Genomic DNA, 27,735 nt, shown 5'->3' with positions numbered 1-27,735 from the left:
TGTATTTTTAGTACAGATGGGGTTTCACCATGTTGGTCAGGCTGGTCTCGAACTCCTGATCTCGTGATCCGCCCACCTCGCCTCCCAAAGTGCTGGGATTACAGGTGTGAGCCACCGTGCCTGGCCTTTTTTATTACTACCATTATTTTGAGATGGAGTCTAGCTCTGTCGCCAGGCTGGAGTGCAGTGGCTTGATCTTGGCTCACTGCCACCTCCGCCTCCCGGGTTCAAGCAACTCTGCTGCCTCAGCCTCCTGAGTAGCTGGGACTACAGGCGCGCACCACCACGCCTAGCTAATTTTTGTATTTTTAGTAGAGATGGGCGTTCGCCATGTTGGCGAGGATGGTCTCGATCTCTTGACCTAGTGATTCGCCCGCCTTGGCTTCTCAAAGTGCTGGGATTACAGGCGTGAGCCACCGCGCCCAGCCAGTTCTACTTTCCTATTATGTAACAATTATAGGCTGGGAACAGTGGCTCACGCCTGTAATTCCAGCTACTCGGGAGGCTGAGGCAGGAGAATCGCTTGAATTCGGGAGGCAGAGCTTTTTTTTTTTTTTTTTTTTTTTAACCAATTGCAGCTTTAGCCTCACTTGGTTCTACCTTCCCTCCTTCCTTCCTTCCCTCCCTCCCTCCTGCTTTCTTTCTTTCTTTCTCTTCTTTTTGAGACGGAGTCTCACTCTGTCACCCAGGCTGGAGTGCAGTGGCGCAAACTCGGTTCACTGAAACCTCTGCCTCCCGAATTCAAGCGATTCTCTGCCTCAGTCTCCAGAGTAGCTGGGATTATGGGCGCCTACCACCACACGCGGCAAATTTCTGTATTTTTAGTCGGGACAATGTTTCGCCATGTTGGCCAGGTTGGTCTTGAACTCCTGACCTCAGGTGATTCGCCCGCCTTGGCCTCCCAAAGTGCTGGGATTACAGGCGTGAGCCACCACGCCCGGCCAGTTCTACTTTCTTATCATGTAAGAATTATAGGCCAGGCGAGCTGGCTCACGCCTGTAATTCCGGCTACTCGGGAGGCTGAGGCAGGAGAATCGCTTGAATTCAGGAGGCAGAGCCTGCAGTGAACCGAGATCGCGCCACTGCACTCCAGCCTGGGCAACAGAGCGAGTCTCAAAAAAAAAAAAAAAAAAAAAAAAGAATTATTAAATTACCCAATCATAGAATTACCCCCACCTCCTGACTGCATCTAATCCAGAGAGAAGCTCTGCTTCCTTAAACCCTGCCCAAACCCTGTAAATTCTTTCCAACACCCTCTTCCAAAGACGTCCCGGTGTTTCCCACGGCGTACTGCCCTACTTGCAAGACCATAAACTCCACTTTGTCCAGCTACAGGAGTGTTCTCGATGGTCTTTGGCTGGAGAGCACAGCCGCAGTGAGAGCTCCCTAAAGGGTCGCTGCTGTTGTTAGGTCTCAAGGGAAATTGCGTGGCGCACCCATTCAATCAGATTTCATAAACAAGTATTCTGAGGCTCCCCGACAGCTGCCTCTTGCGTGGTTGTTTCTCCTCAGGAGATGTTATCTCTCCCGGGGGAAGACCGGGAAGATACTTTGGTTTCTGACCTCCCAAGCAGAAAACCAGCCGTCAAATTTCTTACGAAGTAAAAACCCTTAGGGAGGTGGGCGCCTCTAGCTCCAACTCAGAATTTCTCAAACACCATGACGCCCGGGGGTCATGTGGGAAACTAAAGCTCCAGCGGGTTCATATGACTCAGTGTCTAACCCACTACCCTAACCCAGGAGGAAGGGACCCCAATTCACTCTACAAGCAGCGCAAAAGAATGCTCCAAAAGGCTGAGGCAATATCAACAACCGAATGTTCTTCCGGCTGCAGCTCGCTCAGACGCCGCGCACAGGTCGCTGGGCGGCTACAGCGCAAGCGCAACCCTCTTATAAATGGACTACAAGTCCCGGCATGCCTGGCGACGCGGCGTCGCCTGGTAACTCGCGCCACACGAAGCGCGCTAGGTTGGCTCTTCTGCGCGCCTGCGCCTTGGCGAGCTCTGCGCAGGCGCATTTCCAACGCTTGGAGGAGAGGGCGGGGTGTCGTTTCCTTTCGCTGATGCAAGAGCCTAGTGCGGTGGTGGGAGAGGTATCGGCAGGGGCAGCGCTGCCGCCGGGGCCTGGGGCTGACCCGTCTGACTTCCCGTCCGTGCCGAGCCCACTCGAGCCGCAGCCATGTCTGGGGACGAGGTGAGGATCTGAGCCCGGCGTAAGGGCTAAGGATTGAGGCGAGAAGCCTAACCCACTCCAGTGTGGGAGAACGGGCCTGCGGCCTAGCAGCCGGCCGCCGCCATGTGAGGCAGCCGCGCCTAGGCGGCCCGGAGCGGCAGAGCCGGCGAGGACTCCGGAGCCGCAGGCTTGGCCGCAGCCCGCTTTCCTCAGGGCGGCAGCGCTGAGGCGGACCTCCTGCCGTGGTTGGCGTTTCCGGAATGGAGAGCACACGTTGAGTCGTCCTCCCGGAAGGGGCTCGAATGCCCGGTTAATAACCCCGAACGAGACTGGGGCTGGCGATCCCTGCATTCCTTTCTGCTGGGCACTGCCGCCCCAGCTCGCCTCACTGGGTGCCGGGGGTGCCAGGGGTGCCGCGAGGAGCCTCTCTTGGCTTGGTATAACGCCCTCGTTAAAACTTTCTAGGCTATCTTGTCGGGGCCGGTATCCCGCCCTTGTTTGCCTTCCTAGCATTGTTTTTTAAAAAGACGAGGGGGTGATGGGGTTAGAACGAGAGAAAAAGATTCTGCAGCCTCAGGAAGTGACTGACCTTCCCGGAAAGTTTCCGGGCGAGCCCCTGAGCTTCCCTTAACAGAGGGCTACCGGCGACGTGAGCGGGAAGTGCGGGCTGTGAAACTGGCTGGATCTTTTTTTACCGTGGTACTTGGATCTCAGTGAATTTCCTCAAATCCCTTTCCCTCAGATTTATCCTAGTTGATATAACGTCTAACGACTTAAAATGAAGTTGATGTTAAGTACTCCCAGTAGGTATTGCTTAACATTGGGGGAGGCCCCGTAAGTTGTTGAGAATTTCCTCAGGCAATAGGAAGCCTTGATCACAAGGGCAAAGGAATGGTCGAGAAAGGCCAGTAAATGTGCTCACAGGAAGTAGAATAATCTCCAGTTTGATTAGAGTTAAGGGGTGAACACTTGCCAAGCAGGTAATGACTAGTTCATGGAGGGCTGTGAAGACGAAGTTAAGGAATTTGGAATATATTCTGGACGGGATTCCAGTCTCTTACTTGGTTCTCACAACAGTCCTGTAAAATAGGTCTATTGTTGTGCCCATTTTAGAGATGAAAAATTTGAGTGTTACAGAGTTGTATAATGCCCATGATCAAATACTAAGTGGCTAAACCAGTAGAATTCCAGATTGACTAGGATCTTAATGGGTTAGAGAAACTGAAAGTTTGTATATGGTCCTTGGCGGTTATAGACATTGCTCTAGGCTGCTGTATTTCAAAAGTTCTGAGAGTGGCAGTGTTTCACACTTGTTTTGTTTCTACTCATTTTTCAAACTTCTCATAACCTTTGGCAAATACAGTACTTACGTGTGCAAGATTCCATGGGGTGTTATTCTGTGTATGGGTCAACTAGATGACACACAAGGTAGAAATAGGACCATCAACGTAGTGACTTGGAGGGCTAGAGGGATCAGTGGGATTAGGCTTTGAAAGAAGTGGAATATGAATGCATTACTGCTGGATGAACAGAATTTTGTGAAGCAAAGATGGCAGAACCAGCATTTCGGCATAGGACTTTGGAAGCCAATAAAGTATTAGTTTGGCCACTTAGGGGTGCCGGTCCAACTGTATTTTACAGGAAACCAGGGCCGAGGGAGATTAACTTGTCCAAGATCATGCAGAAAGTTAGTAGGACAAGAACCCTGGTCTTTGGCTTCCATTCTGCCAGGTAGAAGTTAGGAGTAGAGAGGGGTATGAAGAATAGGGTATAGGGCCTGGTTCCTGTAGTGCTGTTGACTAGGTAAGTATTTTTAGGCCATTCCTTTAACATCTGGCTACTGTACAGACTTGTGAGGATCAGATAAAACTCTGTACTTGAAAATGATTTATAAACTGCCAAGGACTTTCCCAGAGTGGAAGTAATCCTGCCTGGTGGTCAGGCTAGACAATTAAAGAGGCTGCTATTAAAAAGTAATTTTCTGTTTTATTCATATTTCTGTTTTTTTTTTTTTTTTTTTGAGATGGAATTTCGCACTGTCGCTGGACTGGAGTGCAGTGGCGTGATCTCGGCTCACCGCAACCGCCTCCTGGGTTCAAGCAATTCTCCTGCCTCAGCCTCTCCTGAGTAGCTGGGATTACAGGCGCCTGCCACCATGCCCAGCTAATTTTTTTTTTGTATTTTTAGTAGAGACGGGGTCTCACTATGTTGGTCTTGAACTCCTGACCTTCTGATTCGCCTGCCTCAGCCTCCTGAAGTGCTGGGATTACAGGCGTGAACCACCATGCCCAGCCTTCTGTTTTTGTTTTTTTTTTTTCTTGATGTATAATTGAAATAAACTGCACACATTTATTTTTAAACCTGGTAATTAAGCCAGAAACTTGCCAAAACATAACGATTTTCAACCTAGTAGAACTATGATTTTTTTTGTTTGTTTTTGTTGTTTTGTTTTTTTAGAGACAGGGTCTCGCTCTTGTTTCCCAGGCTGGAGTGCGGTGGCACAATCATAGCTCACTGTGGCCTCTGTCACCTGGGCTCAGGGGATCCTCCTGCCTCAGCCTCGCAAGTAGCTGGGACTACACGTGCATGCTCTTGCACCCGCTAATTTTTTAATTTTTGTAGAAATGAGGTCTTGCTTTGTTGCCCAAGCTTGTCTTGAACTCCTGGCCTCAAACAGTCTTCCTGCCTCAGCCTCCCAACATGGAACCATGATCTTTAAAAAGCAGAATCCTAGAAATATGGCTGCTACCTGGTAAGGGAAAAGAAAAATCCCCTACTCAATAGGCATTCAGTAATTTTCAGACTATTTGTTAAAAGCAGCATCAATATTTAATACTTGCCTACTTGCTACTAGGTCCCATTCACAAGGAGTCAGAACATTGGGTTTTCATAAAATATGGTAAGGTGTTTTTGCAAAAAGAAGCTTTAAATTAAAAAAAAAAGTATTTGATTCAAAATGGGATGTGTGTTGTGTGAAGTTAATGAAACACAAAAGAATACAAAGAAAAACAGCAGAATCTAAGCCAGGCATGGTGGCATTCACATGTAATCTCAGCTACTCAGGAGGCTGAGGCCAGGAGTTCGAGGCTGCAGTGCGCTATAATTACAATTGAGAGTAGTCACTACATTTCAGCCTGGGCAACATAGTGAGACTCCCGTCCCTAAAAAAAAAAAAAAAAATCCCACAATCCTATCACACAGAGATGGCAACACTTAGCATTTGTTCTGGTCACCTTTGGAAGGAACTTTTAGATCAATGTCTTGCTTCTCTGTGGGTTCTTTTGTGACTCACACCTGCTTCTGGGTATAGTATGACTATAAAGTTGATTTCTTGGGTAAGGTATGATCTATGAGAGGAAGCTTCTAATTTGATGAGCATCAGGGTAATTTTAGCTGGTATACCTTTTCTTTGCCCTCTCCAATCAAACGTGAGAAGTTGAAAATAGAAAATTTATGCTTTTGAAGGCTTTGTTGTGAACCTAAAATATAACTCAAGTGATCTGTAGTTTTCCATATGTGCACTGTCAACAGCTATTTGCTTTTCAAATCCAAACTAGTTTCATAAAAGAAAACCAATTTGGAGTGTAGTCAGCTTATAATTTGGAAGCTAGACATGAAAGTCTTAAAAAGCCATTTTAGTCAAGACTAACATGGCCTCATTTTTGGGGAGGTCTGCTTTGGGTGCTGCTTCGGGATCCCTGGTCCTTATTTGTAAACTGTACTTCGCAGGATGGTATGAATAAAATAAGGCAATGAGTATGTATGTTAAGTATCCAGACAGTAATTGAGAGAGATGTTAATTATTTCAGTTTATGATTCCTGGATGTTTATTATCCTTTACAAGGCTACAACCAAACTGTTTAGCTGTAGACCATAAGGTTTTTCAGGGGATAAGAAGGCACTTGTGAGGCTGTCTTCTGGTGATATCAGGATCCTTGCCATCTTCAGTCTGTCTTGATGAATAATGGTTAAAAGGCAATTAATATTCTAGGGAACTTGATGCTTGAAAAAATGCAATAAATGGATGGTAATCCCTTCCAGAACCAAATTTATAGTGTCTAGAGTTTTGTCTGTCCTTTTGCCAAGTCTCCCTATTTCTAGAATGAAGATGAAATGTAGCTACTTCCCTGTATTATTGCAGTACTCCTTGCAGTGGGGGACTCTTTCCTCTTTGCTCTTCTATCTTGGTAGGGACACTTCTTTAAGTTGGCCAGATAATGTTCTTCAGACTGACTGCATTTCAGATTTAATTATTTATACAGTTGGATCCTTGTTAAGGGAGAAAAGACTAACTTTGAAAATGCTATGCAAATACCATACTTCTCTACTGGGCAAGGACAGTAACTGTATTACCTTATTACAGACTGTAGCTTGGTTTCAGTCTAGTTCCATTAATGATCTTGGGACATAAATAAGTTTATGTTATAATCAATTTTGGGAAGCTTTTGAGAGTTTTATATGTTTGGGAAATTAGAGCACCTGAATTGATGAAATTTCAGTGATAGGAATCAAGAGAAAACCATGCTTTATGAATGGTAAAGTATTATATAAATTACAATTGCTAATATTTATCGAGTACTTACGTACCAGGCACTATGGCAAGTGTTTTACATTTACATACTTCTTTAACCCTCCCAGTAACCTTGTGTGGTTTGTTGTCATTCTGCTACTTGTCTCCATTTTACACATGAGCCGTGGAATAACACAGGTACAAGCCAGAGTCAGAATTTAAATCTAGTCAGATGGGCTCCAGACTTGTGCTTTTAAACACTTTACTATTAACGCTGTCCACAGCAGATCACTGGGCAAAATGCTGAATTTAAGCATGGTATTAATAGAATATGGAGAGAGATTGGTAAGGGGTTCAGGAAAAAAATACTTGGGATTTGAATCAGGTTCTATTTGACTTCAAAGACCCTGCACTTTCTTTTTTTTTTTCGAGACCGAGTCTTGCTCTGTCACCCAGGCTGGAGGGCAGTGGCACGATCTCGGCTCACTGCAAGCTCCACTGCCCATGTTCACACCATTCTCCTGCCTCAGCCTCCCGAGTAGCTAGGACTACAGGCACCCGCCACCTTCTGCTAATTTTTTGTATTTTTAGTAGAGACGGGGTTTTACCATGTTAGCCAGGATGGTCTTGATCTCCTGACCTCATGATCCGCCCGCCTCGGCCTCCCAAAGTACTGGGATTACAGGCGTGAGCCACCGCACCCAGCCTCCTGCGCTTTCTACTCTATCAGGTGTCTGCCCTGTATGTTGTTTAAACTATTATGTCTAGATAACTTTTCTTTCTTCAAGTGATCAGTGCAAGCAGATAGTCTACAAATTATAAATTAGTTTTTCACCTACTCTATAGTGGACATTTAGATAAGAATAAGAGAATTTTGGGGCAAGGCATGGTCCTCACACCTGTAATCCTAACACTGGGAGGCTGAAGCTGGTGGATCATTTGAGCCCAGGAGTTCAAGACCAGCTTGGGGAGCATGGTGAAACCCCATCAATACTAAAAATACAAAAAATAGCTGGGTGTGGTGGTGCACTCCTGTAATTCCAGCTACTCAGGAAATTGAGGTGGGAGGATGGTGTGAGTCTGGGAGGTCAAGGTTGGATTCAGCTGAGATCATGCCACTGCACTCCAACCTGGGCAGCAGAGCCAGACCCTGTTTCATTTAAAAAAAAAAAAAAAAAAGAACCTTTAATGTTAAACAAAAAGCAGAGTGAAATGTTGTATAGAGGTTTCTCTTACTCAGAGATTTGCTATATGAAGAGTTGCTGATGGATTTCCTTGAAGATTTGTAGTTAAAAAAAATTTTGTTTTTTTAATCAGGTCAAAAGTCTCTCAAGTCTCTGTGTAACAGCCCCAAGTTACCAGCCTTGAATAAAACATTGATACCCCTGGCCAGGTGCGGTGGCTTACACCTGTAATTCCATTGCTTTGTGTGGCCGAGGTGGGAGGATTGTTTGTGCCTGGCAGTTTGTGACCACCTGGGACAACAGAGGGAGACCCCGTCTCTACAAAATAAAAAAATTAGCTGGGCATGGTAGCACATGCTTGTGGTCCCAGCTACTTGGGGAGCTAAGATGGTAGGATCACTTGAGTCCAGGAGGTTGAGGTTGCAGTGAGCTGTGATCATGCCACTGCACTCCATCCTGGGCAACAGTGAGACCCTGTTTCAAAGAAAAAACAATACAAAAAAATTTACACCCCGCTTAGGTATTGTTTTCCTATATCTGTAAAGTGAGGGGCATAGCATAGGTTGTTGCCAAAGTCCCTTCCCTAAATTCCATGATTCATTCAAATGTCCAAATTTGCTCATGAAAGTGAAAGTGAAGTATCTGTGATACTTTACAAATTGAAAGATGTGTACATGTTTCAGTTCACCTGATGTTTAATAGTAACAAGAAGGTTGGGTGGACAATTTATTTTATTTTTTGGTAAACTCCCCTTTGGTGTTTTAATGTATCACATACTCTTTTAAGAGTATGCCTTTTGAGGATAAAGCATATTTGGAATGTGAGCATCATTAAAAACAATCATTTGGTCCCTTTTTGTTTTTTGTCTTTTAAACAGATGATTTTTGATCCTACTATGAGCAAGAAGAAAAAGAAGAAGAAGAAGCCTTTTATGTTAGATGAGGAAGGGGATACCCAAACAGAGGAAACCCAGCCTTCAGAAACAAAAGAAGTGGAGCCAGAGCCAACTGAGGACAAGGATTTGGAAGCTGATGAAGAGGACACTAGGAAAAAAGGTGCGTGGTTGATGTGAGAGAGTTACTGTTGTCATAGAAGCCCTGGTTCTATGAGCGTTTTGGCTTTTGGATATGCAGCGACCTCTCAGCCTGACAAGGCTGTTCCAGTGAAGTCAAGGCCATCAGTAGTCTGTATGCAGTGGACCTTTTTAGATTTCTGATAGGCTTGTTGCAGGGATGTTTCCATTTAATTCACAAGTTGCAAAGATGAAACCTTGCTGTTCCAGAGCTGGTTTTCCAGTTGAACCCATCAGGTCTCTTCTCTGACTTTTTAATGGTAGTTGTATTTGAGTGTGGGCAGAAAGAAATGGTACTAAGATAGGCAGTTTTGTGTCTTAGCAAGTCTGAAAATGTATATGAGAGATTAAAATTATAGCCTAAAGTATTTGGGGTTAGACACCAGCTTTAGTTACTTACCCCTGTGCTGTAACATAGACATAATTTGACTGTTAGAGAGAAATGTTTCTATAAACATTGTATGTGTCTGTTGAATATAACACTGTGCCAGGATAGAGACAACTGACATTCACTGAGCATCTGCCCTGTGCTAAGTGTCTTCTACATGTTTAAAACAAATTTGGAAAGTAACTCATTCCTGTTGTAATAAGATAAAATGGATTTGTAAATAGTTTCTTGAAAAACTTTGTAGCAGAAGGATCCTAAAATATTTCTAGTTTATAACATGGCAGGTCAAATGGAAAACTTGTTGAACAGAACCTATTATTACTCATTAATGGTAGGTAAAATTTCACTGATAACTTGTATTTACTGCACAGCTGTATTTTAATGAATGTGAAATAATTTGTTAGGCCTTTTGATGATTAGTTGATTCAATAAAATGTTGAGCTAGACAGTAGAATTTAGGTGAACAAGGCATATACTCTTAGTATTGAGTAGGGAGATAGATAAGCAAGCTGGTAATAAGTACCTCAGTTGGAGTAAGCAGAAGATACTATCCAATCACTCTGGGGATACCTAACCCAGTTGTGGGGAAAGATGGATAAGCTTAGAGAAGGCTTTGGTGGAAGTAATTTAACCAAGATCCTGTGAGATGGAGGTAAGAGGGCCCACGGGAAGGTTTGTTGGTGAGAGACCGCACGTATATTGCAGTAGGAACTGAAAGTAGTTCAGTAGGGTTAGAACCAGGGATTGAAGTGAGGAAGGCAAGAAGCAGAAGTGGAAGATTTAAAGTTGGAGAGTTGGAAATTGTGTTAGAGCTCTGACTTTGTCTTGGGAACAGTGAAGAGTGATATGGTCAGATTACTAAATAAATATTCTCAACATGGTCCCCTAACCAGATTTTTCCTATAGATCTTTGAGATGACCTACCATTTTGTTTTTCAGAACCATAACTTTTGTGGCCGGGCGCGGTGGCTCACGCCTGTAATCCCAGCACTTTGGGAGGCTGAGGCAGGCGGATCATGAAGTCAGGAGAGCGAGACCATCCTGGCTAACGTGGTGAAACCCTGTCTCTACTTAAAAAAATACAAAAAATTTGCTGGGCATGGTGGCACATGCATGTAGTCCTAGCTACTCAGGAGGCTGAGGCAGGAGAACCGCTTGAACCCAGGAGGCAGAGGTTGCAGTGAGCTGAGATTGCGCCACTGCCCTCCAGCCTTGGCGACAGAGCAAGACTCCATCTCAAAAAAAAAAAAAAGAACCATAAGTTTTGTGATTGTGGAGGGACTAATTAATAGTCAGTCTTTTCTGGTGACTTGATTAATTGCTGAACTATGTTTGTGTAACTCATAATTTGATGCTTTGCCTTTTAGTTGTTAATAATTATGCCTTGGTCTTTTTAGATGCTTCTGATGATCTAGATGACTTGAACTTCTTTAATCAAAAGAAAAAGAAGAAAAAAACTAAAAAGATATTTGATATTGATGAAGCTGAAGAAGGTGTAAAGGTAGTATTGCTTTCTTGTTGAAGGTAAAATTTGACCTCTTGCAAGGTTGCTAATGGCTGATGTTTCCCTCTCTTTGACTCATCTCTTACTAGCTTTGCTTTTGTTATTAGCACTTAATTGCCACTGGTAGCGTCATTTTCTTGGGAGTGTGTCTGACTAGGTATCTTAAAGGGATTGTGGTTCAAGGAATTTAAATTTAGGTCTTACATATTGTATTGTGTGCCATTAAGATGATCACAAATGTCCCTTGTCCTTAACTATACTGAGATTTTTGGCTGTGGAGAACTATTTCTATGAGTGAGAAATCCTTCTGAGCAAATATTCCTTTGGTTTCTTAAACTTTTGGTAACATATTGAATATATACAAATTGATATGTGTACCTCTAAGCAGCAAAGAATGAACCACAGTGGTGGTTGGTAGCTGATGACAATGTGGCCTGTAGGCAAACCAGAGCACTCAGGCTAGTTTTATGGAGTTCTCTGATCTTGTGGATACTTGAGACCCTGTGAGTCTTATTACTGAATTGATTTCTAATACAAATATCTCAAAATTCTTTTGGACAGGGAGTAAGTAACAGGTGGGCAGGAAGGTGAATAGGAGGGAGGGTAGGTGGATGGATGAAAGGGGAAGGAGCTGAAGATCTGTTTTCCTCCCTAGAGTTACCATTTTAAAGACCCTGCCTAGGAATCACTTTAGCAGAATCCACATGTCTATTTATAAAACCCAAGATAATAGCAGTACACACACTCACTCACATAGAGCGCGCACACACACAACAGCAAACATACACCAAATATCTTGTGCCCTCTACTCAAAATTTTCTTTGATAAGTAGTTTATTTGCTCAAACTCAAGTGAATAAAGTACATCCCACATGTAGCAGGAAATGTATACAGTAATTCATTGGGTTTTAGAAATAATGTCATAATTTTATGACAGTTAATTCAGTAAATAAGTATGAGTGATTACAGCAAGTCAAGCTTTTGAAGTATTGTGTGGTAATTGCTAGAGTACTGAAATGAGTAAGATATTTTTCCTGTTTGCAGAGATATTTTGGTTCAAGGATAATTTAGAATCCTTGAGAACAAGCTGGTTTTATCTGGATTCATCTTGTTCTCTCCCTGTTTGGGGATTCTCTTTTCCTTCTACTATAGGGAAATTGAGAAAAATGCTCAGATTATAATCAGAAATGGGATTTAAATATCCTGGGTAACAGGGCGACATGTAGAGATGTGCTACAGAAAGTTTTGGTTAACAAGGCTTTGTTGGTTGATTCCTCCAGTAGCTTTTATTGGAAGATTAGTTCTAAATAAGTGCTTGAATACTATTTTTGAAGGCATAACATAAGAGGATGTTAGAGGTATCCTGGTCATCAGGCAAGGCACGGACATTCACTTGAAGGGTTTTTGAGGTCTTGGGCTACTCTCCCACCTGAATTTCCAGACCATCCGAGGGCTTTTGAAAAGCCTTGAAAAATGCTTTTTGCAGACTGGACGTGCTGTCTCATGCCTGTAATCCCAGCACTTTGGGAGGCCGAGGTGGGCAGATCACCTGAGGTCAGGAGTTCAAGACCAATCTGGCCAACATGGTGAAACCCCATCTCTACTAAAAATACAAAAATTAGCTGGGTGTGGTGGTGCACACCTGTAGTCCCAGCTACTTAGGAGGCTGTGGCAGGAGAATCGCTTGAACCCAGCAGGTAGAGGTTGCAGTAAGCTGAGATAGCGCCACTGCACTCCAGCCTGGGCAACAGAGCGAGACTCTGTCTCAAAAAAAAAAAAAAAAAGAAAAATACTTTTTGCTGTTCTCCACCTTCTGCTGTGTCTTGGTGTCAATATGGAAGTAGATCTTACTGGGATAAAATAATAATAGTATAGCACTAGAAGTTGGCTAGTGTATGCTAACTTATATTCAGCATTTCTAAGTTCTTATTTATTGACTTAGAGACTAGGTGAGTATCTGGTGTCCTGTTTGTATGGTATGTAGCTAATACCATGGGCAGATTTATTTATTTACTTATTTATTTGAGACAAAGTCTCACTCTGTCGCCCAGGCTGGAGTGCAGTGGCGCAATCTCGGTTCACTGCAACCTCCGTCTCCTGGGCTCAAGCGTCCCTCAGCTTCCTGAATAGCTGGGTTTACAGGCACCCGCCACCACGCTGGGCTATTTTTGTATTTTTGGTAGAGAGGGGTTTCACCATGTTGGCCAGGCTGGTCTCAAACTCTTGACCTTAGGTGATCCGCCTGCCTTGGCCTCCCAAAGTGCTGGGATGACAGGTGTGAGCCACTGCGCCTGGCTGGCAGATTGGTCTTGATAGCCACATGTGGCACTAAGACTACACAACTGGATTTGGGATCCCGAATCTGAGCTTTATTTACTCCCAGCTATTCCAACTTTTCTGCTGGTAAGATTTCTGAAATGACTGTAGCCATTGTCCCAGGTCAGGATGTAGGCACACACAAAATAGATATTAATGAATGAGTAAGGTTGACAGCACAGTTCAGGATAGGGAGCTGGATAAGCTGGTAGAAGGAAGGAGAAATCAGAAAGCTGGAAACTGAGACTGGCCTTTTCTGCTCTTCTGGGATGTTTATGACTCATTTCTAGGTTTTAATATGCCCTGTTTACATCCATGCCTCTGGCAACTAATCTTGGGGTCAAGCTTTACTTTGTTTCCATTCCATTCCATCACTTGATCCTAATTCCCCATGGCTTCTGCCTTTCCCTCTTTGATAATGTCATCTATTGGAGTGATGCCCAAAGACCACGCCACAGACTGGTGCCAGGCTGACTGTCATATAATAAAAAATAAATATTTGTTCTTTACGTTCTTGGCTCACAACTGCTAAAATCCTTGGAATCTCCGAAGTGATAACAGGGTCTTTGGTACGCTAATGAGATTTCTGAAATGACTGTAGCCATTGTCCCAGTTCAGGATGTAGGCACACACAAAATAGATACTAATTAATGAGTAAGGGATCCCTTATCTGGGGATCTCTAGATAGCTTTAGGATGGGGGCTGGTCACCAGAAGGACAAAGCTATGATTTTAGAGGGTTGGAACTTTCAGTGGTCCCCCTGCCACCTCCAGAGAGGGAAGGTGTGGAGATTGAGCTCAGTCACCAGTGGTTAATAATGTAATCAGTTGGCCAGGTGCAGTGGCTCACACCTATAATCCCAGCACTTTGGGAGGCCCGGGCCGGTGGATCACCTGAGGTCAGGAGTTTGAGACCAGCCTGGCCAATATGGTAAAACCCCGTTTCTACCAAAAATACAAAAATTAGCTAGGTGTGGTGGCGTGCGCCTCTAGTCCCAGCTACTCAGGAGGCTGAGGTAGAAGAACCACTTGAACCCGAGAGGCGGAGGTTGCAGTGAGCCGAGATCATGCCACTGCACTCCAGCCTGAGTTACAGAGTGATACTCAGTCTCAAAATAATAATAATAAGAAGTAAATAATGTAATCAATTGGTCATACCTTTGTAATGAAACCCCTAGACATGGGTTCGGAGAGCTAACATGCTGGTGAGCACAGCAAGGTGCTAGGAGGGTGATGTCCCTGGTGTGGCAGCTCCACGCCTGCCCTCCTTGCCACCCCTCAGCTCCCACCCCCATAACTTGTCCTATGCATTGCTTATGTTTGGCTGTTTGTGAGTTGTATCCTTTATAATAAATTGGCAGTAGTAAGTACTTTCCTGAGTTCTATGAGTCGTTTTGGCAAATTATTGACTCTTGATGGCGAATGTGGGAACTTCCGAGTTTATAGCCATGTTGGACAGAAGCAGGCAGCATGGGAACCCAATACGTGGTGACTGGCATCTGAAGTGAAGGCAGTCTTGAGGAACTGAGCCCTTAAACCTGTGAAATCTGATGATAACTCTGGATAGTGTGTGTCTGAAATAAACTGGAGGACACCTAACTGGCATTGGAGGGTTGGTGTGGAAAAACACATATTTGGTGTCACCCGGAAAAATCTTTCCCAATGACTATATCAAAATCACTTAGAAACTTCTTTAAAGTACTCCTGAACCCTGTTCCTGCTGAAGATCATCAATCCGATTTAAACTTTTAAATTTTCTCAAGTGATTCTTTTTTTTTTTTTTCTTTGAGACAGAGTTTCCCTCTTGTTGCCCAGGCTGGAGTGCGGTGGCACGATCTCAACTCACTGCAACCTCTGCTTCCTGGGTTCAAGCGATTCCTCTCAAGTAGCTGGGATTACAGGTGCCTGCCACCACATCCAGCTAATTTTTGTATCTTTAGTAGGTGTGGGGTTTTACCATGTTGGCCAGGCTGGTCTTGAACTCCTGACCTCAGGGATCCACCTGCCTCGACGTCCCAAAGTGCTGGGATTACAGGTGTGAGCCAAGACGCCTGGCCTCTGCCGTGATTCTGACAGTAGCCTGGTTTGGAAATAAGGACAATAATTATAAGATCCTAAGGCTGAAGAATAAAGAGATGAATGAGGGGGAAAGATCCCACAAGTGTCTTGAAGAATTCACAGTTCAAATGGCAGAGTCTCTGTGAGCCAGTTTGGTCCATTTCTGACAGGCGTTTCTTATCTGTAACTTCAATTTTGAATATGTGATTTTTTTCCCTGCCAAAATAATGTCAGCCCACGTCATTTTTAAAAAAGAACAGGCTGGGTGTGGTGGCTCATGCCTGTAATCCCAGCATTTTGGGAGGCCAGGGCGGGAGGATCTCTTGAGGCCAGGAGTTTGAGACTAGCCTGAGCAACAAAGCAAGACCTCCTCATCTCAACAGAAAATGTAATAAAATAAATAAAAAAGAATAGTCCCAGTATCAAATGTTCAGACTCATCTCACTTTCTTAGGATCTTAAGATTGAAAGTGATGTTCAAGAACCAACTGAACCAGAGGATGACCTTGACATTATGCTTGGCAATAAAAAGAAGAAAAAGAAGAATGTTAAGTTCCCAGATGAGGATGAAATACTAGAGAAAGATGAAGGTAATGCTGAGGACTCAGCAGCACATTTAGAGGTTACTCAAGCCTTTGGCCCTGGTCTCCTTGATGGGGGTGGAGGGTGCTTTTAAAATTTTTTTCTTGCCCCTTATTTCTACTGACTGATAATGGAAGCGAAAGGAAACAGTGTTTGGCTTGATAATGGCAGTTAAAGAATTTGTTAACTGTGATTACATTAAAAACATACTGATTCAGGCTTGGGAAAATTACTATAACCGGATTTTTTTTTTTTTTTTGAGACGGAGTCTCACTCTTGTCGCCCAGGCTGAAGTGCAATGACACGATCTTGGCTCACCACAATCTCTGCCTACCGGGTTCAAGCGATTCTCCCGCCTCAGCCTCCCGAGTAGCTGGGATTACAGGCATTCGCCACCACTCTCGGCTAATTTTGTATTTTTAGTAGAGATGGGAGTTTCTCCATGTTGGTCAGGCAGGTCTCGAACTCCCAACCTCAGGTGATCCGTCCGCCTCGGCCTCCCAAAGTGCTGGGATTACAGGTGTGAGCCACAGCGCCCGGCCCCGATTTTTTAATTAAAAAAATTTTTTAAACTCGTGTTTACAGTTTTATTAGTTTCTAAATGCTATAGGGTCTTTAGAGAACTTTTGTCAGTAGATGAGTTTTATGGATGTTGATGTTTCTTAAGTGCTCAAAACAGTTGGACTTTTTCCTCTAATTATTCCAATGCATTATTTTATCTTTGATTTGTTAAATTAAGAAACATTTCAGTATGTTATCAACTCCTAATTAGAGAGGTCTCTATTAAGGGCCTTTTTTGAAAGTCATAACATCCCTGTTTCTAAGGAAAAGGGTTGTGAGCTTTGGTTTCTTTATGCTTAAGGCTGTTGTGAATGCAGCTGTGGAAGGGAAGACAGATGTCTTTGAAACTCTTCATTTCTCTAGACCCACCCCACTTTTGTATTGTAGTAGGGCCCACCCCTCATTCTTAAAATCTTTTTTATCTGTAGCTCTAGAAGATGAAGACAACAAAAAAGATGATGGTATCTCATTCAGTAATCAGACAGGCCCTGCTTGGGCAGGCTCAGAAAGAGACTACACATACGAGGAGGTAAGACAAAATCTGTTGTGAAAAGGGGCTAAGCTATTCACTAGTGCTCAAAGAAGAGCAAGATAAATCTTATTGGAACGGCCGTTGAAGTAATGACTGATGGTGGAACAGATGCAGAGAGGTCACACAGCCAGTGCACAGCAATTCCTGGTGCGCACCCGTGGGGCAGCCTGCCCAGAGTGCAGCAGTCATTGTAGTACTACTCACTGTCCCCACCTGAATTTGTGGACTGCTGAGGGCATGCAGCCCTCTAGGAATTAGGAGGGCAGTGGTGAATTAGCTAATTTAGGGCCAGGGTAGTCTGGAGTTTGCTAGTTTGGGCTTTCCTGAATCTTACTTTTCCATGTATCATGTACTTTGCCATAGAAACAACAGAATGAGTGGTTGTTCATTCATTTCACTTTGGACAAGGAGTTGCTGAGCATCTATAATGAACCAAATGCTGGTTGGGGATGAACCTCTGCCCTCAAGGAGCTCCCAGACTTGTAGTAATGCATGTGTATATTTAATCAGAAGTGAAGTATTTGCTGTTAAGCAACATGACTCAAAGGGGAACTTTATACCCCTGCAGTTACTAAGCGTATTCATGAATACCACTTTATTTTTATAGCTGCTGAATCGAGTGTTCAACATCATGAGGGAAAAGAATCCAGATATGGTTGCTGGGGAGAAAAGGAAATTTGTCATGAAACCTCCACAAGTCGTCCGAGTAGGAACCAAGAAAACTTCTTTTGTCAACTTTACAGATATCTGTAAACTGTAAGTTGGTTAATGGAGTACCTTCATCCCAAATGCCAGATTCTCATTGCAGTTTTAAGAATGTTAAATGTCCTTATTGTCGACTTTATTATAGATGGAAAGAACACACAGGTGTAGGGGTTGAGGGAGTTCACCGTTCAAGCCTGTCATTTTCTTCAATTCATAAGTCTCAGGGCTGTTTTATTTTATTAAAGATAACGGTCTTGCTTTGTCGCCCAGGCTGGAATGCAGTGGAGTGGTCATGGCTCACTGCAGCCTCAATCTCCTGGGCTTCAGCAGTTCTCCTGCTTCAGCCTCCTAAGTAGCTGAGACTACAGGTGCACACCACCATGCCCGACCAATTTAAAAAAATTTTTTTTTTTTTTTGTAGAAACGTGGGTCTTGCTGTGTTGCCCAGGAGGGCTTGTTTTATTAGTGCATTCAGAGGTGAGAGAAATCAACTCATGCTGACCCACTGAGGATGGATCCTAACTAGATGTAGTGAAGAGTGAGGAGGCTCAATGTAGTTCTCAGGAGCCTTGGGAGCCCAGGGAGTGGAAAGGCTCATCAGTTGCTCTAGGATAGGCCTGCCAAGCAAGCAGTGAGCTCAGGGAAAGTGCCTGAATTTGGGTGCCTCTTCCTTGGATGATCATTGCCAGGACACAATTGATGAGATTGTATCTTTCTTAATTACCATCACATTCTATGCCAGAGTCAGCCCTGGGTTACTGTCTGGGAATGGCTTTTCTCTGAGCTCCTCAGCTGCATGTTTTCTGGCAGTTTCCTTAGGACCACTGAGTTTATCCACTCTTTGTTCTTTAATTTCCTAAGTGCTACATGCTTGTTGTAGAAAATATGGTAAACACAAAAGAGATAATATTCACTCAAAATTTTACCACCCAGAGATAACCACTTGTTGTCATTACTTACATATATTTAAATAGTTTAGATTTTTTTGGCTAATGACAATAGTAGTATATACTCATTGTAGAAAAATTAGAAGATAAAGACATGCTAAAGAAAATGGAAAATCATCTGCAAAGTCCACCATTAAGAGGTAGATAACTGCTGGGCGCAGTAGCTCACGCCTGTAATCCCACCACTTTGGGAGGCCGAGGTGGGCGGATCACAAGGTCAGGAGTTCGAGACCAGGCTGGCCAACATAGTGAAACCCCGGCTCTACTAAAAAATACAAAAAATAAGTCAGGCGTGGTGGCACGTGCCTGTAATCCCGCTACTCGGGAGGCTGAGGCAGGAGAATCACTTGAACCTGGGAGGCAGAGGTTGCAGTGAGCTGAGATTGTGCCATTGCACACTACAGCCTGGGCAATAGTGTGAGACTCTGTCAAAAAAAAAAAAAAAAAAAAGAGGTAGCTAACTTATCATAGTTTAATATTTTTCTGTTTAGCCAGTTTTATGTACATATTTTAAAAATAAATTGCTATCATACTGGTTTTTAACCTATTTTCTCAATATATTGTGAAAGTTTTACTCATGTCATTAGTCTGAGTAAGTGTTTTAAATAGCTACACAACATATTTTAACAGTTCCATAAGTTGGACGTGGCTGCTCCCAGGTTTTTATTATCAGAGGCAAAACTTCACCGAACATCTTTATACATGTATCTTTCCAGTAGCTCAGAATAGAATCTTAAGGCAAGATGAAATTGCTGAGTTAAAAGGAATGGATATTTTTATGGCAAACATTAGCACATTGCTTTCTAGCAAGGTCGTGCCAGTTCATACTCCCGCTAGCAATGTAGGAGCTTACCTATTTTATTATATTTTTACCAGTTCTCACCTATTGCATTTTGGGGAAAAAAGCTTAAAAATTGTTGTAGTTAGCACCTGCTTGTTGGAACAAGTTCAGTGCCACAGTATAGATTTAAAAAATGAAATGAAAATATTGAATGGCATTGCTCTATATTTGTGTTTTTTATTTTATATGTGTATGTACATTTTTTTTTTTTTGTATATTGAGATATTTCTAAAAGTAGAATACACCCTTGAATGGATTTATTTAACCACTCCTCTAGTTGGTGAATATTTAAGATGTTTCCATTTTTCTGTTGTGCTACCATGGAACCCTTCTAGACATACACTTTCTTTTAATGAAAATTTTACACATGAAATATATATGGATTAACATATATATTTATTAGCCTGTTTGATAACATCCAAGTATCCATCACCTAGGTTTGGTATATGTTGAACTTTTGACACATTTGCTTCAGATTTTTTTACTTCTTTAAAAAGAAGGTTTTATGCTATTTTATGATAGTCTCAAAAACAAAAGAAAAAGGTGGTTTTATAGTTATAATTAAGGCCACCTTTGTATCTTTTCCTGGCCCCTTTTTCCTTCCCAGAGGAAGTTGTTATTCTCTGAAGTCGGTGTTGATGTTTTCCATCCTTGTTTCTAGATGCTTACGCACATGTATGTAGTCATAAAATGTAATATGGTCTTATGGGCATTGAAGTGTAAACAAGTGCTATCTGGCTCAGTTCACATCTGTAATCCTGGCACTTTGGGAAGCTGAGACAGGAGGATCATTTGAGACCATGAGTTCCATACCAGTCTGGGCAACATAGTGAGACCCCATCTCTACACAAAAACTAAAGAATTAGACAGGCATGGTGGCACACACCTGTAGTCCTAGCTACTTGGGAGGCTGAGATGGGAGGATGGCTTGAGCTCAGGAGTTTGAGGTTACAGTGAGCTATGATCATCACTGCACTCCAGCCTGGGCAATAAAACAAGACCCTGTCTCTTAACAATAAAAAAAGTGGTGTCATATACTGTATCTTTATTTCAAAGTTTAAATAAATGGTGCAGTGAAATTCACTTAATAGCTAAATAATCACAGATCAAAACAATGAACAGATTTTTTAGAAGTTTGGTGAGATTTCCATGAGAGATAAGGTTTATATATTTTGATTTTCTTTTTAGATTACATCGTCAGCCCAAACATCTCCTTGCATTTTTGTTGGCTGAATTGGGTACAAGGTAAGAAACTGTATACATTTACATACAGTACTGCTGGACATTTCATAAGAACCTTTCTTGAAAAGGATATGTAACACACTTAGAGAAAATGTTCACCTGATTATTAGAGAAACTTTTAGGCCAGTGGAGGAGTGAAATCACTTCATTTCTGTGGGAGAGCTTGGCTGCTTAGGAATAGGGCACAGAGTTGACATCTGAACAGGCCTGCTGGTGTACCAACCAGAGGACCACAGAACTGCCATGTTTAGACTTTCCTGTTACTAACTGAAACTCTTGAGTCTTTTTATGGAGCAAATATTAGATTTTTAGAGGAATTGGTTTTCTTAAAGTCAGACTTTTTTTTCCTAAATTGGTAACAGGCTGTTGAAGAAATACAGCTAGTAAGTTGATGAGTGGCACTGGAGAAACCATTGAAACCAGGATCTGTGATGAAATAGGTACTTACCTGTCTTCAGGGCTCACCTTTTGAAGGCACTGAGCAAGTCATTCCCATTCAGGAAGGCCAAGATCTCATGGACCCCATGCCAATGAGTTTGACTACTATCTGGAAGCCTAATGTCCCTTTAAAAATAAGTAATGTAGAGTAGGTCATGATAATGATGACTAATGCATATTGAGCACCTCTTTTGTGCCAAGTGCTTTTTTGGGTGCCATCTCAATTAATCTTCACAATAGTTCTATGAAGTAGAAAGTAATATTCCTATCTTCACGTTCGGAAACAGGTTCAGTAAAGTGAAGTTGTAGTTGGTCACATAGCTAGTTAGTGGCACAGTCAAGATAGATACAATCAGGTCTATCTGTCCCTGCAGCTTGATCACCTAACAGGCTTGACACCTGTGCGTCACTGGCAGTACAGAGATAATTAAGGTGTTCTCTTCCTACTCTCTTTAAACTGTTGGGATTTGCTACACTTGGTGTGGGGTTAAGGGGTAATTTACTTGACCGTGGTGGATACGTAGGCTCTGTTGTAGAAGAATTGTGGGTTTTGTTGTTTTGTTTTGTTTTTTTGAGATGGAGTCTCGCTCTGTCACCCAGGCTGGAGTGCAGTGGCACAGTCTCGGCTCACTGCAAGCCTGCTTCCCGGGTTCATGCCATTCTCCTGCCTCAGCCTCCTGAGTAGCTGGGACTACAGGCGCCCGCCACCACGCCCAGCTAATTTTTTGTATTTTTAGTAGACGAGGTTTCACCGTGTTAGCCAGGATGGTCTCGATTTCCTGACCTTGTGATCCGCCTGCCTTGGTCTCCCAAAGTGCTGGGATTACAGGCGTGAGCCACCGCACCCAGCATGTTTTAAATATAAATTTGTTACCATCGTTATTTGTAACTTGCACAAACTAATGAGGGAGCAAAAGCTAGCATTGTTTTTTCTATTGTTAGAATAATCTAGAGGTTTTGTTAGAGGTGGGATAAACTATTATAACAAGTTGTGGCCAGTAAACTTATGGTCAATGGGTTAAATGGGTTTTCGAGAAAATTCCATTTATTTTGACAGTGAATGAAAAAGAATTTCTACATCAAGCATTGCAATCACTGTAGCCTGGAGATTAAGGGTTACAATCTGTGGAGGAGGAAATTTAACCCTGCTTGACTGAATTTTGTTGTTTCACTTTATGATTTATAATTTTGAATGAATGATAATATCTAGCCTAGAGCTTTGCTTTCTCAAAAGTGCCTGTCAACAGTTTCCTATCAGTTTATCATTAAGTACCATTGACAGTTTGTGGCTTGTGATTCAACTATCCTTTTTTTTTCTTCAAACAGCTTTATTGAGATAACAGCTTACAAATTTAAAGTGTATAATCCAGGAGAGTCCCACTCGGACGTCCGTCTCTCTCGCAAGACAGAGCTATTCTTTCTCTTTTGCCTATTAAACCTCCACCCTTGGACCCCCCCCCCCCAAAAAAATAAATATATATAAATAATATATACAATCCAATGGGGTTTTTTTTTTTTTTTGAGATGGAGTTGTGCTCTGTCGCCCAGGCTGGAGTGCAGTGGCGTGGATCTTGGCTCACTGCAACCTCTGCCTCCCAGGTTCAAGCAATTCTCCTGTCTCAGCCTCCCCAGTAGCTGGGACTATAGGCGCCCACCACCACGCCTGGCTAATTTTTTTGTATTTGTAGTAGAGACGGGGTTCCACCATATTGGTCAGGCTGGTCTCGAACACCTGACCTCAGGTGATCAACTCGCCTCAGCCTCCCAAAGTGCTGGGATTACAGGCGTGAGCCACCACACCTGGCCCCAATGGTTTTTAGTATGATCACATATTAAACTTAATATGTATAACTGCTACCACAATCAATTTTAGTATATTTTTATCAACTATACTTCTAACCATGCCTGAATCAAAATATTTGGTGCTTAGAATTTTAAAAAACAAACGTAGCCCCTTTCCTGTTTTTATATTTCTAGGTCTCTCCTTTGCCTTGCTTTGTACATGGTATGATGCAGTAAAAGATTTTTTCCTTTGTTGGATGGACTGTCACATACAATGAAGGAATCAGTTTGTTTTAGACTTAAAATCAATTATAAATCTGATTGTTATCACTGGAGATTTAATTGGATTTGATGTTAGTATGGGTACATCATTAGACGCAAACTATTTAATTAAAAATAAATTTTGAGGCTGGGTGTGGTGGCCTACACCTGTAATCCCAGCAGTTTGGGAGGCCATAGTGGGAGGATCACTTGAGTCCAGTAGTTTGAGACCAGCCTGGGCAACATAGGGAGACCCCTCCATCTCTACCAAAAAAAAAAAATTAGCAGGGCACAGTGGGGAGTGCCTGTAGTCCTAGCTACTTGCTAGGCTTAGGTGGGAGGATTGCTTGAGCCTGGGAGATTGAAGGTGCAGTGAGCCATGATCACGCCACTGCACTCCAGTCTGGGCGACAGAGTGTGAGACCCTGTCTCATAAATAAATAAATTTTGGGAAACCAAGTAGTATAGCACCAGTCCTAGAGTTTATCCTATGCTACTGAATATATTTTAAGTTCATTAAGTTTAAAGGTGCTGGAATTTGGTTCCTTTAGGAAAAAACAATAATAATGGAGATATTTTTGTTTTCTTTCATAGTGGTTCTATAGATGGTAATAACCAACTTGTAATCAAAGGAAGATTCCAACAGAAACAGATAGAAAATGTCTTGAGAAGATATATCAGTAAGTGTATAATTCATTTCATTAGATCACCCTGAAATGTTCTCATGAGGCTGCAGTGTTAGAGGAAGAGCCATTTGATTGCAGTGAGCTGGGAAAAGCTGGCCTTAAAAAGATCAGAGACAAAATGATAGTGAAAGGGAGGTGGCTCTTGCCTACTAACTAGGGGTATAGATAGAAAAGGATTTGGATTTTTAAAGAAAGCCCAGCTGATTGAAGCTGCTGGTTGATTGTAGGGCTGAAGGCCAAGTCAGAGAAACTTGCCTGTGATTCAGGCCTGGCCTTGGCCCCCTTTTGTTCCTAGTTATTTAAAATTGGCATGTCTGTCAACATGTTTGAGTGGCTCTCCTCTAGACAGAAACGAGAATAAGCAAGCTGGCAGGCTTCCTTGCATCCTGGGGCATTGAGTATCAGCCCATGTTTAGTGCCGGAAGCGCCACAGCAGACAGCTTGTGTTTTCTTACCCCTCGAATAGCTGCGCTTCCCTGGTCTGGGTGCCCAGCTAAATTCTCAGCCTGGGCTTGTGGAGTTCTTTGTAGATGTATTTAAGAAGGCAGAAACTTCTCTACCTCACTGCAGCCACCAGGTAATTCTGTGTGTTGCTTTATTTGCAGAGGAATATGTCACTTGTCACACATGCCGATCACCGGACACAATCCTGCAGAAGGACACACGACTCTATTTCCTACAGTGCGAAACTTGTCATTCTAGATGTTCTGTTGCCAGTATCAAAACCGGCTTCCAGGCTGTCACGGGCAAGCGAGCACAGCTCCGTGCCAAAGCTAACTAATTTGCTAATCACTGATTTTGCAAAGCTTGTTGTGGAGATGTGGCTGGACAGGTTTGCCATCAGAGTGGATATACCGTTGTATTAAAAACAAGATAAAAAAGCTGCCAAGATTTTTGGCGAGTGGTTGGTCTGAAGTCCTTGCAAGACGCTGATGCTCAAGCTGTTGACATACTCATTGCCTACTTTAACACCTGTCAGAGAAACGTGATATGGGGTAAGGAGGTGCTTTTTTAAAATCGTTCATAGACTTCTGTAAAATGCAAGATAAATTAAAGTTATTATAACAGTGATTCTTTCAATTTGGTTTGTCCTTCAGTTTTCTTTTCTATAAATGTGCTTGGTGAAATCAGCAAGAAACCAACCATATAAAACAGTGTGTGCCGGGCTCTGACTGAGAAACTGAACAATGGCAGGCGCTTCATCTGGGCAGCCATTTTTCTTCTCTGCTTCTCTTGAGATACATAGTTAAAGTAGACACGGCCTCCCACGCGAGTGTGGTGGGACCTTGAGACTTAGGAGGATTGCCTGTTTTCAGTGTCCAGGGAATGACTCCATAGATTTGAATTCTTTTCCGTATGTGGGGATGGTTGCTACTACCTCACCGCCAAGTCCTCCCCCAGCTGTTACCACATGAGGGAATACAAGGTGCTAGGTACCCTCCTTCCTCGTTGGCCACTAAGAGGTCTTAGAAACATAGCCTGTAAATGTGTCTTGTAACTGGCACACTAAAAAAGATCCTAGTTGAGCATCTCTCTTGGTGAGGAAGCGATGTGTGTGCGGTTCAGGAAACTCCTCCAAGAGGAGGAGGAGTCCAAACAGGGATGCCAGAGGAAGCTTTCCGTTTTCCTAGCCAACTTGTGTTCTGGGTTTGAAAAAGACCCACCACAAATGCTTTTTCTATTTTCTGATTTAAAAGTCGCTTTTGAATATGACCATGAGAAACCAAGAAATGCTGCTTGTGTGGTGCTCTGCTTCCTGAGGATTTGGCTGGAAGGGGATTCTCCGCTGGCACATGGGAGAAGGCCATCTTCTGTGTCGGTGCTGTGATCTGCCTTGTTCTCACTTGCTGAGGATAAGGGCATACACGCTGCTCCTCGCTTTCTTGTTGCCCGACTTCGTACTAAGCAGCTCAGGAGCAGTCACTCAGACCCAAATGTCTTGACTGTGTTGTTTTTAATCACTGTGACCCTTAAAGTACAGGCCAAGTGTTGTCAAACACCTTGGCTAAAACAGTGGAGGGTGATGGGTAAAGCAGTAGAGGGCCCTCAACCCACACACTGGCTGAAACTGCCACCAACTGCCACGATGAACCCAACTGCTGTTTATGCCCCCATTTTCCTTTTTTTGTATCTACACCCACACGATTCCCAATGTTGGATATTTCTACATGAATAAAGCAAGGATCAGTGCCTCTTATGTAATTAACGCTCCATTGCTTTTGTGTATGTATGTGTGTTTGGGTTATTCTTTACTTAGCGGGACCCTTTAGGAGAAGGAATGATACTCTTCAGTTTGGTGACAGGTTGACAAATAGACTGGTGATTTCAACCCGTTTTTAACTTCATTCTTGAAGCAGATTCTCAGGACTGATGCAGCCCCTGTAAGAGTCCAGTTGAGATAACTGACTAAATTGGATTGAAAACCCATGAAAAATAATGGGTTGCCCTATGTTACTCAGACACAGTAGCATCAACCTCTTCTGTCTCTACTGTCTCTCACCAAACACAGCTCAGCTGAAGGAACCTTGCAATGTGGTGACAAAGCAAAGGCAATCAAGAGCCCCTTTCTAGTTTTGGAAGGGAACCAGATCATCATTTCCAAAGTGTCTTAGGAAACAACGTTGAGGACCCTTCCTAATTATGAAAAGGAAAAGGAGGGGGGTTCCATGGTAAAGAAAAGTCAGAGTAGGCTGGGCGTGGTGGGGAGGCCGAGGTGGGCGGATCACAAGGTCAGCAGTTCACGACCAGCCTGGCCAACATGGTGAAACCCTGTCTCTACTAAAAAAAAAAAAAAAAAAATTAGTTGGGCATGGTGGCTGGCGCCTATAATCTCAGCTACTTGGGAGGCTGAGGCGGGAGAATTGCTTGAACCCAGGAGGCGGAGGTTGCAGTGAGGCGAGACCCTGCCACTGCACTCCAGCCTGGGCAACAGAACAAGTCTGTCTCAAAGAAAAAAAAAGTCAAGAGTAAGTAAGTGGGTTTCATAACTGCCTGACAAGTCTTTAATATGGTGATGTGCATTTTCTTTTGTTTTTTGAGATGGAGTCTCACTTTGTCACCCAGGCTGGAGTGCAGTGGCAAGATCTCGGGTCACTGCAACCTCCGCCTCCTGGGTTCAAGTGATTCTCCTGCCTCAGCCTCCCGAATAGCCAAGATTACAGGCACCCGCCACCTTACCAGCTAATTTTTTGTGTTTTTTAATGGAGACGGGGTTTCACCATGTTGGCCGGGCTGGTCTCAAACTCCTGACCTCAAGCAATCTGCCCGCCTTGGCTTCTCAAAGTGCTGGGATTACAGGCGTGAGCCACCGTGCCTGGCCAGTGCTGTGCATTTTCATCAGCATATAGAAGACATGCAGTTGCAGCTCTACTTTTTAGAAAACCTTGATTCCATGCCCCTCACTCCCACCTACAGGAAAGTTTGAAAAGCTTTTCCCGAGGTGTCTACCTGGCTCACTCCCACACTTCCTTGGGTCCCTGCCCACTATAAAGATGGTTTCTCCAGCACACCATAATGTTAAGTGTTGAGGGCAGACACTTTTGTTCACTCATGTATCCCCAATACTGACAGCAGGCAATGCCTAGAAAGTTGTAGGTGATACGTATTTGAATGTGTTTCTTTAAAGGGAGTATAAAATATGCAGAATTTTGCACACCTCTCCCCCCACCTGACAAACATAGGATAGGTTCTGCAGAAAAAGTGCTGGGCCAGACAGTCTGGAAGAAGTGCTGCTGTGGTATGTGAGGTCCCAGCTCCGCACCTGGGCTCCCCTTCCGGATCTTTGCCCTGACAATACTGAGGCTTCGCAATTGAACAGAACGTTAAATTTTGCAATGTGTTCTTAGAAGCTGGGCTTTGTAGCAGGTGAGGTGGTCTTTTTTAATTGGGAAGATGAGATTATAATTTAAAATGTTAAATTCCCATAATCCTACCACCATATAACTTTTTAGTATCCAG

The 27,735-nt window shown here is 43.2% G+C and overlaps 1 protein-coding gene across 4 annotated transcripts, besides 4 other annotated features; it reads left to right on the top strand.

Annotated features, from left to right (window-relative positions):
• Positions 1,725 to 1,784: an enhancer, noted in NCBI's record as "active region_17755". NCBI's record gives its function as "activates an Ori minimal core promoter by ATAC-STARR-seq in GM12878 lymphoblastoid cells {active_cell/tissue: GM12878}" and the evidence as "EXISTENCE:reporter gene assay evidence [ECO:0000049][PMID:35858748]".
• Positions 1,781 to 2,442: an enhancer, noted in NCBI's record as "NANOG-H3K27ac-H3K4me1 hESC enhancer chr20:32699653-32700314 (GRCh37/hg19 assembly coordinates)". NCBI's record gives its function as "activates a minimal SCP1, AML or CMV promoter by ChIP-STARR-seq in primed H9 embryonic stem cells {active_cell/tissue: H9 hESC(primed)}" and the evidence as "EXISTENCE:reporter gene assay evidence [ECO:0000049][PMID:30033119]".
• Positions 1,805 to 2,214: an enhancer, noted in NCBI's record as "active region_17754". NCBI's record gives its function as "activates an Ori minimal core promoter by ATAC-STARR-seq in GM12878 lymphoblastoid cells {active_cell/tissue: GM12878}" and the evidence as "EXISTENCE:reporter gene assay evidence [ECO:0000049][PMID:35858748]".
• On the top strand, positions 2,046 to 25,980 carry EIF2S2 (eukaryotic translation initiation factor 2 subunit beta). Of its 4 annotated transcripts, none has more exons than NM_001316363.2 (9): positions 2,046 to 2,193; positions 8,744 to 8,921; positions 10,724 to 10,827; positions 15,665 to 15,791; positions 16,773 to 16,873; positions 17,484 to 17,632; positions 20,558 to 20,614; positions 23,687 to 23,772; positions 24,384 to 25,980. In NM_001316363.2, the coding sequence occupies exons 1-9, from the start codon at positions 2,179 to 2,181 to the stop codon at positions 24,557 to 24,559; spliced, it is 993 nt and encodes a 330-aa protein (NP_001303292.1). In that variant the 5' UTR covers positions 2,046 to 2,178; the 3' UTR covers positions 24,560 to 25,980. The 4 variants fall into 4 exon arrangements, with proteins under 4 accessions (NP_001303292.1, NP_003899.2, XP_016883607.1 ...); NM_003908.5 differs by having other exon boundaries at positions 15,656 to 15,791; XM_017028118.2 differs by having other exon boundaries at positions 2,046 to 2,609; positions 15,656 to 15,791.
• Positions 2,443 to 3,105: an enhancer, noted in NCBI's record as "NANOG-H3K27ac-H3K4me1 hESC enhancer chr20:32698990-32699652 (GRCh37/hg19 assembly coordinates)". NCBI's record gives its function as "activates a minimal SCP1, AML or CMV promoter by ChIP-STARR-seq in primed H9 embryonic stem cells {active_cell/tissue: H9 hESC(primed)}" and the evidence as "EXISTENCE:reporter gene assay evidence [ECO:0000049][PMID:30033119]".
• Positions 25,981 to 27,735: the final 1,755 nt, after the last annotated feature.

Source organism: Homo sapiens, chromosome 20 (assembly GCF_000001405.40).
Source record: "Homo sapiens chromosome 20, GRCh38.p14 Primary Assembly".
In the NCBI taxonomy this organism is placed as follows: domain Eukaryota; kingdom Metazoa; phylum Chordata; class Mammalia; order Primates; family Hominidae; genus Homo; species Homo sapiens.
This window is presented reverse-complemented; position numbering and strand designations above follow the sequence as displayed.